This window comes from Homo sapiens, chromosome 2 (genome assembly GCF_000001405.40).
Source record: "Homo sapiens chromosome 2, GRCh38.p14 Primary Assembly".
In the NCBI taxonomy this organism is placed as follows: Eukaryota; Metazoa; Chordata; class Mammalia; order Primates; family Hominidae; genus Homo; species Homo sapiens.
In genome coordinates this window covers 106,462,832-106,473,233 of record NC_000002.12, presented here as the reverse complement: position 1 = coordinate 106,473,233, position 10,402 = coordinate 106,462,832, and the positions used below count along the sequence as shown (strand labels likewise).

The 10,402-nt window shown below is 48.4% G+C and overlaps 1 protein-coding gene across 5 annotated transcripts in view, besides 1 other annotated feature; it reads left to right on the top strand.

Annotated features, from left to right (window-relative positions):
• RGPD3 (RANBP2 like and GRIP domain containing 3) overlaps nucleotides 2,299-10,402 on the top strand; it is a 67,530-nt gene continuing 59,426 nt past the window's right edge. For 2 of the 5 annotated variants that reach the window (XM_017004739.3, XM_047445567.1), the window contains exon 1: nucleotides 2,299-2,433. In XM_017004739.3, coding sequence (XP_016860228.1) covers nucleotides 2,381-2,433 — 53 coding nt within the window. In that variant the 5' untranslated portion in view covers nucleotides 2,299-2,380. Of the gene's footprint in view, nucleotides 2,434-4,820; nucleotides 5,018-10,402 lie in introns of those variants that run through there. The other 3 variants (NM_001144013.2, XM_017004740.3, XM_017004738.2) reach the window with 2 other exon arrangements.
• Nucleotides 5,358-5,550: a silencer, noted in NCBI's record as "fragment chr2:107084140-107084332 (GRCh37/hg19 assembly coordinates)". NCBI's record gives its function as "represses an EF-1alpha promoter that drives an FKBP-Casp9 reporter gene in an ReSE screen in K562 erythroleukemia cells {active_cell/tissue: K562}" and the evidence as "EXISTENCE:reporter gene assay evidence [ECO:0000049][PMID:32094911]".

Genomic DNA, 10,402 nt, shown 5'->3' with positions numbered 1-10,402 from the left:
AAAAGATAGCTGGAGTCGCTATAAAGTGGGAAAAAAAAAAATGACCAGGAACAAAGAGAGACTTTAAAGGGCCAAATCACCAAGAAGGCACCCTTGAGTATTTTGTAAATGTCAGTTCATTCCATTTGGTTGATAATGTTGTTCATGTCCTCTCCAACCTTGGCAATTTTTTTCTCTTCTTTTTTTTTGATACAGTATCTCGTTCTGTTACTCAGGCTGGAGTGCAGTGGTGGGATCACAGCTCACTGCACCCATGACCTCCTGACTCAAGCGATCCTCCCACCTCAGCCTCCCAAAGTGCTGGGATATTACAGACATGAGCCACCACATCCAGCCTGGCAAACTTTTTATGTAGGAGTTCAGACAAGTATCTTAGCCTCTATGGGCCACATGCAGTCTCTGTTACATATTTGTCTTCTGTTTTATTTTTTCCTTAACCATTTAAGTACATAAAACCTATTCTTAGCTCACAGACTGTACAAAAACAGGATACAAGCCAGATTTGGTCATGGAACATGGTTTGCTGACCAAGGATCTAAATAGATGCAGAGAAATCATTTGATAAAATCAAATATCAAAATTTAATATTTGATAAAATCAAATATTAAAAAAATCCTCAGCATCTAGAAATAGAAGGGGACTTCCTCAAATAGACGAGGGACATTCAAAATTTTCACTGTGCCTCCTGATGAGGAGGAAGGGACGGCCATGACTTTTTTCATGGTGTTTGTAAAGAGTAGGGCAGATATAGTGAAAAGTTTCTGTCCTGGTTGGTCATTCTTTTCCCAACACTTTGGCTGGAAAGACTAAGATTTTCTTAGGGCGTGTTTTGTCTGTGAACGTTGGCATGTCTGTGTTATAGGCTCTTTGAAAGCCTGAGGCCTGGTTATGTAAGGAGTCAAAAAAACCAGAAACCTAGGGAATTCATCATTAGGTCATTCCTGGGTCTCAGGTTACTAGCCAGTTTGTCTTCTTTTCTTCACTTTTTCAGAATCTTCTGTTAGTTGCATTATAAATTTTATTCAGTTTTTTTTTCTTTTTGGTGATTAATGAGGGAATAGCATGGTATGTGCTTATTCCATCTTTTCGTAAATTAGGGGTTTGAGATAGCTTTTAAAAAATTATGCATAATTAGTTCTCACTGTTATTTTTGTTTTTTAAGCCTAAGGATTTTATTGGGGCAACTTCTGTTATTTTGTTAGCTTTTGAGTAGTGTGTTAACATGAATATGTACATTGTTAAGATCTCATTTTAGTTCTGAGCATCTCCTTTTTAGTCTTATCAAGTTTTCAGCCTGTACAGATGTGAATTTCTGTTTTTGCTAAGTACCCTACAGATAGCCAAAATAAGGAGTGGTTAGCATGGATTGTCAACTCATTCTTTTTTTTTTTTTGAGACAGAGTTTCGTTCTTGTTGCCTGGGCTGGAGTGCAGTGGCACGATCTCGGCTCACTGCAAGTTCCACCTGCCGGGTTCACACCATTCTCCTGCCTCAGCCTCAGAGTAGCTGGGACTACAGGTGCCTGCCACCATGCCCGGCTAATTTTTTTTTTTTAATTTTTAGTAGAGATGGGGTTTCACTGTGTTAGGCAGGATGCTCTTGAACTCCTGACCTTGTGATCTGCCCACCTCGGCCTCCCAAAGTGTTAGGATTACAGGCGTGAGCCACCGCGCCCAGCCGCTGTTCTTACTGTCTTTATGACCAATAAGGTAGAAGAGTACATAGTGTACAGATTTTTATATAATGTGTTGACTATATTAACATTCCTCTCCTTGCCTTCCAAAAAAGTCTTCAGTAATGAAGAGAAGGAATCCAACCAAGAGAAATTATACTAAGGTATGAGAGGTCTAGGTGGGCAGATGGCTTCAGCCCAGAAGTTCAAGACCAGCCTGGATAACATGGTGAAACCCCGTCTCTACCAAAAAATACAAAATTAACCAGGCATAGTGGCATGTGCCTGTAGTTCCAGCTACTCAGGAGGCTGAAGTGGGAGGATCACTTGAGCCTGGTAGGTTGAGGCTGCAGTGAGCTGAGATCATGCCACTGTACTCCAGCCACAGGGAAAGAGTGAGATCTTATCTCAAAAAAAAAAAAAAAGAAATTATACCAACATATTTACAGTTGGATAGTGGAATTCAATAGATTATTGACATTTGAATTGTTTCTTTGCTGTGTTTGTTGAGCATAAACTTAGAAATATCAAAAGAAATATATGTTTATATTCCTTAACATTTTATTTAAGGATGTGATGCATTAAAGGCAGTATTTTTTTTTTCCACATGTTTTTATTGCTTAAAGGTGGGAAAGGTTTTTATTCCTGGACTGCCAGCTCCCTCTCTGACGATGTCCAACACAATGCCTCGGCCCAGTACTCCACTAGATGGCGTTAGTGCTCCAAAGCCTCTTAGTAAACTCCTTGGATCATTGGACGAGGTAAGAAAAGGACTAGGTGTTGCCAAAAAGTTAACATTTTTTAAAGAAGTTTGGTTAAACATTAGTTCTTTCCATGGTTAACTTAATTTTAGTTTCTACTTGCAGAATAAATGTTTTCAAACAGAAGTGATTCAGTTAACATACACTGACCTCCCTTGTGATGTATGTGATACTTTTTGAAGGTGCTGGAGAGATGGAAATGATACATTCTTTTCCATCTAGGGATCTCACAATTGTGTGGAGTTGATGTACTGTCTGCATAAGAAATTAGAATTTAAGAAAGACTCATGACTCAGTAATGTGGAAAAGAGAGTACCATCGTTGATTGACTGATGGGAAGATGACATCCAATGGGAGGACATGGCAAAATCAAAGCCTCATCTCTGAGAGACATGTCAGTCTTCGTTTGGACCTTGGGGTTGAGTAGGATATCTGTAGGTAGAAAGGAGCATTCAGGGCAAGGAGAAACCACACAGGCACAGGCAGGAAGGCTAGATAATGCGGAACATTTTTTAATGGATATTTGTATCTTCATCTCCTAGTCATAAGGACTCAATAAATCTGTAGAATAAATACTTATAAAAGTACAAGTAGTCTGTAGGGTGAGGCAGGATAGGGTTTGGATAACAATAATAACCTTTTTTGGGCATTTTCTATGTGCTAGGCATTGTTCTCAGTGCTTTATTAGTATTAATTATTTCCTTAGAACAGTTTTATTGAGAAGAGAGTACTATGATTCTTTTTTTTTACAAATGAGATAGAGGTTACAAATGAAATAAACCTACTAAGTGGTAGAACTGGGATTTACACTCTTACCAATGTGCTCTTAAAGGGAGAAAGGATGAAAAGGTGGTTTTCTTCTGAATGCAATTGACAGGGCATTACAGGATTTTGAGAAAGGAGTTACGAGGTTTTGGATCTGTGTGGTAAATAGGTGTATTTTGGGATTAAAGATAAGGAGACCAGTTAGCCTCCAAGTGAGGTTGTCTGTGTCAGTTTAAGAAGTATGAGAGGGTCTGAGCTAGGGCAGTATATGTGTGGAAAGGAGGGATTAATATGAGAGGCCTTGAGAGGTGGAAATGAATTTGTCAGCTGATTGGTTTTGTGCTGCTGGGCTGGGGAAAAGTGATGTGGAACGAGGCTCCCAATTCTCTGAACGACCTGGGAAGGTACCTGGATTTACCAAGTTAGGAAGCCTGGAGAAAAGTGGTTTGTATTTAAAGGACATGTGAGTGTGGATGTTTAGGGACGGTTCAAAGGGAAGGTTAGTGCTATCAGTTGTATTTGATAATGTCTATGTCTTCATTATATTTTTAAACATGTGCCACATTGAATTTTTTTTCCTTCAAACCAGCACATTTGCGGAACATTGAAAGGGGGAATTGGAGAAGCGTCAGAGTGTTTTGTGTGATTTGGAAGAATTTCTTTTATAATGGAAAATGGTTTCCAACTTTTTTAGAATTCTATAAGCCTGGTAATAGTGCCTTTTTGATAGGTGTAAGGTCATGGAAATGATAGTCTAACACATTGGCTGATGGCTTTTCCACTTCTCTGGAAGATTTTGCTAGTAGACTTAGAGCCAGGACCAGTGGAGCTGAATTTTTCCTGGTGACTTTTAGAGTAGAATCTGGAATAGAATAAATACATCTTAGTCTTGATTGTCAGTGTTGACAAGATATTCACTTAGAGATATATAAATTGAATTAAAGGAATCAAAAAAGGATCAGTGGTCATGACTAGAGATTAAGATTGGAAGCATCTGCATGTAGATAGTAACTAAGACCATTTAAATTTTTTGTTTGCATATCTGCAGTTAAGCAAATAAATGCTGTTCCTGTATTTTTGAATAAATAATTGCCTATAGGGGAAATACCACTAAATACTGGTCTCATTTGTTGGCTTTTTCATTACTGTCCTTTCTTCCTGGGCTCTTAGTTCCTCAGCTGCCTCAAATCACAGTTTAGTCTTTTTTTTTTTTTTTTTTTTTTTTTTTTTGAGATGGAGTCTTGCCCTGTCATCCAGGCTAGAGTACAGTGGGGCAATCTCACCGTACTGCAACCTCCACCTCCTGGGTTCAAGCGATTCTCCTGCCTCAGCCTCCCAAATAGCTGGGACTACAGGCACCTGCCACCACACCTGGCTAATTTTTGTATTTTTAGTAGAGATGGGCTTTCACCATGTTGGCCAGGCTGGTCTTGAACTCTTGACCTCAAGTGATCCGCCCGCCTCAGCCTCCCAAAGTGTTGGGATTACAGGCGTGAGCCACGGCGCCCGGCGGGCAAGACACCCTCAGAGCACAGGGTGCTGCCAAGAGCCCAGCCGAGTGCAGCTCGAGCGCCGAAGTCGCCAACGTTCCACACACTGTTGACGCAGGACACAAGTTCGTCACAGTGGTCCTCCGCCGGCTACGCCGCTGCCTCAGTGGCTTTCAGGCGCTTTCCTCTTGGAATTGGCGACTGCTGCGGGGCTGAGCGCTGGTCTCACGCATCTCGGGAGCCAGGTTGGTGGCGCGATGAGTTGCAGCAAGGCCTACGGGGAGCGGTACGTCGCCTCGGTGCAGGGCTCCGCCCCGTCGCCTCGAAAGGTGAGTGGGTCTGGAAGAGACCGACGGCCTCGACCTGGCCGGGCGGCGGCCTCGACCCGGCCCGGCGGCGGCCTCGATGGCTCAGGCGTCATGGCTCCCGACGAGCGCTGCTCCCTGGCGCGCTCTGTGGAGGCGGCGGCCTCGACCTGGCCCTGCGGCGGCCTCGATGGCTCAGGCGTCATGGCTCCCGACCGGCGCTGCTCCCTGGCGCGCTCTGTTGAGGCGCCGGCCTCGACCTGGCCCTGCGGCGGCCTCGATGGCTCAGGCGTCATGGCTCCCGACGGGCGCTGCTCCCTGGCGCGCTCTGTTGAGGCGCCGGCCTCGACCTGGCCCTGCGGCGGCCTCGATGGCTCAGGCGTCATGGCTCCCGACGGGCGCTGCTCCCTGGCGCGCTCTGTTGAGGCCGCGGCCTCGACCTGGCCCGGCGGCTGCCTTGATGGCTCAGGCGTCATGGCTCCCGACGGGCGCTGCTCCCTGGCGCGCTCTGTTGAGGCGGCGGCCTCGACCTGGCCCGGCGGCTGCCTCGATGGCTCAGGCGTCATGGCTCCCGACGGGCGCTGCTCCCTGGCGCGCTCTGTGGAGGCGGCTGCCTCGACCCGGCCCGGCGGCTGCCTTGATGGCTCAGGCATCATGGCTCCCGACGGGCGCTGCTCCCTGGCACGCTCTGTTGAGGCGGCGGCCTCAACCCGGCCCAGCGGCGGCCTCGATGGCTCAGGCGTCATGGCTCCCGACGGGCGCTGCTCCCTGGCGCGCTCTGTTGAGGCGGCGGCCTCGACCCGGCCCGGCGGCGGCCTCGATGGCTCAGGCGTCATGGCTCCCGACGGGCGCTGCTCCCTGGCGCGCTCTGTTGAGGCGGCGGCCTCGACCTGGCCCTGCGGCGGCCTCGATGGCTCAGGCGTCATGGCTCCCGACGGGCGCTGCTCCCTGGCGCGCTCTGTTGAGGCGGCGGCCTCGACCCGGCCCGGCGGCGGCCTCGATGGCTCAGGCGTCATGGCTCCCGACGGGCGCTGCTCCCTGGCGCGCTCTGTTGAGGCGGCGGCCTCGATGGCTCAGGCGTCATGGCTCCCGACGGGCGCTGCTCCCTGGCGCGCTCTGTTGAGGCGCCGGCCTCGACCTGGCCCTGCGGCGGCCTCGATGGCTCAGGCGTCATGGCTCCCGACCGGCGCTGTTACCTGGCGCGCTCTGTTGAGGCGGCGGCGGCGGCCTCGACCTGGCCAGGCGGCGGCAGCCTCGACCTGGCCCTGCGGCGGCCTCGATGGCTCAGGCGTCATGGCTCCCGACGGGCGCTGCTCCCTGGCGCGCTCTGTGGAGGCGGCGGCCTCGACCCGGCCCGGCGGCGGCCTCGATGGCTCAGGCGTCATGGCTCCCGACGGGCGCTGCTCCCTGGCGCGCTCTGTTGAGGCGGCGGCCTCGACCCGGCCCTGCGGCGGCCTCGATGGCTCAGGCGTCATGGCTCCCGACGGGCGCTGCTCCCTGGCGCGCTCTGTTGAGGCGGCGGCCTCGACCCGGCCCGGCGGCGGCCTCGATGGCTCAGGCGTCATGGCTCCCGACGGGCGCTGCTCCCTGGCGCGCTCTGTTGAGGCGGCGGCCTCGATGGCTCAGGCGTCATGGCTCCCGACGGGCGCTGCTCCCTGGCGCGCTCTGTTGAGGCGCCGGCCTCGACCTGGCCCTGCGGCGGCCTCGATGGCTCAGGCGTCATGGCTCCCGACGGGCGCTGCTCCCTGGCGCGCTCTGTTGAGGCGCCGGCCTCGACCCGGCCCAGCGGCGGCCTCGATGGCTCAGGCGTCATGGCTCCCGACGGGCGCTGCTCCCTGGCGCGCTCTGTTGAGGCGGTGGCCTGGACCCGGCCCGGCGGCGGCCTCGATGGCTCAGGCGTCATGGCTCCTGACGGGCGCTGCTCCCTGGCGCGCTCTGTTGCGGCGCCCGCCGGCTGGCGCAGTCCTGTGGGCGGCGCGGCGCTTGCAAGCGCAGGAAGAGTCCTGGGGGGACCGCTGCGGGCGGGAGACCGTTGGCGCCGGCGCTTCCTCTTTCTCCCGGCTTGTTCCCGACGCTTGTTCCCGACGGTGCTCGCTCCTGGGCCCGTCCTGGCCCGGGCTTTCTGGCCCCGTAGTACCCGCGCGGCCTAGTTCTCGGGGGCTTGGGCACCCGGGTGCTGTATCGGCGGGTTTCTTCCCATCTCCTGGACATTTACTTTATATGCTGCGGCGGAGGTCATACCTCCTTGGCCTGGAGGAACCCAGTGGGGACTGACGCAGCTCCGGGTGAGCTTTGGCGGCTGCGTCGAGTGACAAGGTAGGCATCTCAGCGCGGACATTTGCAATGGCCCGACGGCGCAAATGACACGGAAAGTCCCCTTGTTTTGAGTATGAGGTGTTTGTCGCTGTCCCTTTGTAAGGGTCCAGCTCCACTCCACTCCTCATACTCACCTCCCTCGCCCCCCTCCCTGCCCGGAACACTTTGGTAGCTGACTTTGCTTAAAAAAAAAAAATTCTAAAGTTCTTACAAATCGTTAGTATGGCTTGCAATTTTTAACCTTTTCCACAAATGTTTTAAGGGTATTTTTCCTCTTTACATGTAAATAATGCTGAGATTACAGGTGTGAGCCACTCTGCTCAGCCTGATTTTTTTTTTTTTAAACAAGCTTAAAAAAAAAAAAGCAAGCTTAGAGCCTTTCTGAGATTCTTAGTGGGGACCTTGGCTTCCAAAAGATTAAAAACCACTGGTCTAGACAGAAGTTAGAATGTTCTTTCAACTACATAACTTCTCCATTAAATAAAGTGGAGTGGTGGCAAGATTTTGACGATTGGTTATTATGACCACCTCTCTTACACTTAGAGTCTTTTTTTCCCCCAAATTGAAAGTCATTTACATTAGAACCTGGGGATTTCAGCGGAATATGGATTAACTAGTGAGTAACTTTGGAACATGTGAAGCTATTCTGTGAAGTTAGGTTTGAGTGAAATGACAAAACAGGGTGCTTTGGATAGAAGGTAAAGAATGGAGGGAGAAGAGGCAGTGGCTGTGAAGAATATGAAGAGGTTAGTATTCTCCCCCAGTTTGGCAGAGGCTGGCCATCTGTGAACTGCCCATGCTTTCTAGAATGTCGGAGTTTTGGAGTGTGATGATGCGTCTGTATATCATATCTTTCTAGTCTTCCATTGTGCTTTCATTTGTTAGTCTCCTCTTGTTTTGCCATTTTTCTACTCCCTCACATGTGCTTTTGCCCTTCTTAAAAATATTCTTCGTCTGTAATCTGAGCACTCTGGGAGGCCGAGAGACCAGCCTGACCAATATGGTGAAAATCCATCTCTATTAAAAATACAAAAATGAGCCGGGCGTGGTGGCAGCGCCTGTAGTCCCACCTACTCGGTAGGCTGAGACAGGAGAATTGCTTGAACCCTGGAGGCAGAGGTTGTGGTGAGCAGAGATTGCACCACTGCACTCCAGCCTGTGTGACAGAGCGAGACTCTGTCTCCAAAAAAGAAAAAAAGAAAAAAATATATAATTTTTTCTCTAGTTTTTCTTTTTCCAGATGGCTTCTGTTTAGTTTTTCTATGTTCTGTCAAGTCGGTTTCTTATTCTGCAGCTGATTCCTACTTCTCAAAGTCTACTTGACAGCTCTTATTTTTATTTATATTTTTTTTAGAATAGGGTCTTGCTGTGTTGCTCATCAAATTTTTGGGCATAAATGATCCTCCTACCTCTGTTTCCTGAGTACTTAGGACTACAGGCAGGCACCTTTGACAGCTGTTAGTTGTTTTTTCTGCCCTTTACATCTATACTTCATACTTCTGAGTAACACACATATATACTTTTGTTATTTTTAATTCCCTTTCTCCCATTTTAGACATTTTCTTTTCTTTTTTTTTTTTTTTTGAGATGGAGTCTCGCTCTATCGTCCAGGCTGGAGTGCAGTGGCGCGATCTCGGCTCACTGCAAACTCTGCCTCCCGGGTTCACACCATTCTCCTGCCCCAGCCTGTAGCTGGGACTACGGGCACCCGCCACAACACCCGGCTAATTTTTTAGTGTTTTTAGTAGAGACGGGGTTTCACCGTGTTAGCCAGGATAGTCTCGATCTCCTGACCTCATGATCCGCCTGCCTCAGCCTCCCAAAGTGCCGGGATTACAGGCGTGAGCCACCGCGCCGGGCCCCATTTTAGACATTCTGTACTGGCTATTATGCTCCTCCAAAACTGTCCTCAGACACTTTGGTTTGCCCCTCATTCTTTCAGTACTGTTATTGCAGTTTTTGTTTAAATGAATATTTAACATTTATATAAATATAAGGTAAATATTTTGCATTTGAATTGCCCTTGTTGTGCAGTTTTGTTTTTCCTGGACTGAATAATTGCTTTATTTTTTGGTTTGCTTGTATGTTGTGTTACTACTTGCTTACTTAAACTCAGCAACTTAAACCCTCAAATGTGGTCAAACTGGTCACATAATCCGTTCAATTTCAGCTTAAAACATTGATTGATTGATTGATTGTCTACCTGGAATACCCTTACTAACCGACTTCTCCAACCTGGATTGGGTTTTCTTCCTCTTTGCTACACAGCTGTGCTCTTGGGACTTCCCTTTATCACCAGTTTGAGAATTCCCTTCATCTTTTTTCTGAGTTAGACCCTTTGTTTCTTGTATCTCATGTCATCTTCATTTACTTTCTTTGTTTTGGTGTAGCATAGTCTCACTTGCTTTGAGGAAAAGTGGATGAGAGGTTTTTTTGTTTGTTTTTGTTTTGGGACAGAGTCTTGCTCTGTTGCCCAGGCTGGAGTGCAGTGGCATGGTCTCAGCTCACCACAACCTCCGCCTCCCGGGTTCAAGTGATTCTCCTGCCTCAGCCTCCTGAGTAGTGGGATTACAGGTGTGCGCCACCATGCCCGGCTAATTTTTTCTATTTTTAGTAGAGATGGGATTTCACCATACTGGTCAGGCTGGTCTGGAAACTAATGGTATGTCTTTAAAATGTCTTTACTTAATTTAGTTGATCATTTGGTTATCGAATTCTGAGTTTGAAATAATTTTTTTCGCAATTTTGAAAGCATTGCTCCATTTTCTAGAAGTTCTGTTGTTAGGAGTCTGATGAGATTCTTGTTCTTGGTAACAAAGGTTTTCTGAAAGTGTCCTTTCAATTGGGAAACTCATTTCTTTCAGTTCTGTAGCATTTCTTGTATTATTTCTTTGACCATTTCTTACCCTTTTTTTTAATGATGTTTACCTGAAAGCTGGAGTTTCTCTAATTTTTCTCTTATTCTCCTCTTTTGTTTGTTCTGCCTTTTGAGAGATTTCCTTACCCTTATGTTCCAGGGGAAGAAGATTGGGGAACTCATGGTTCAGTATCTAGACTTTTCCTCATTGTCCTGTATAATCACGGCCTTCACCC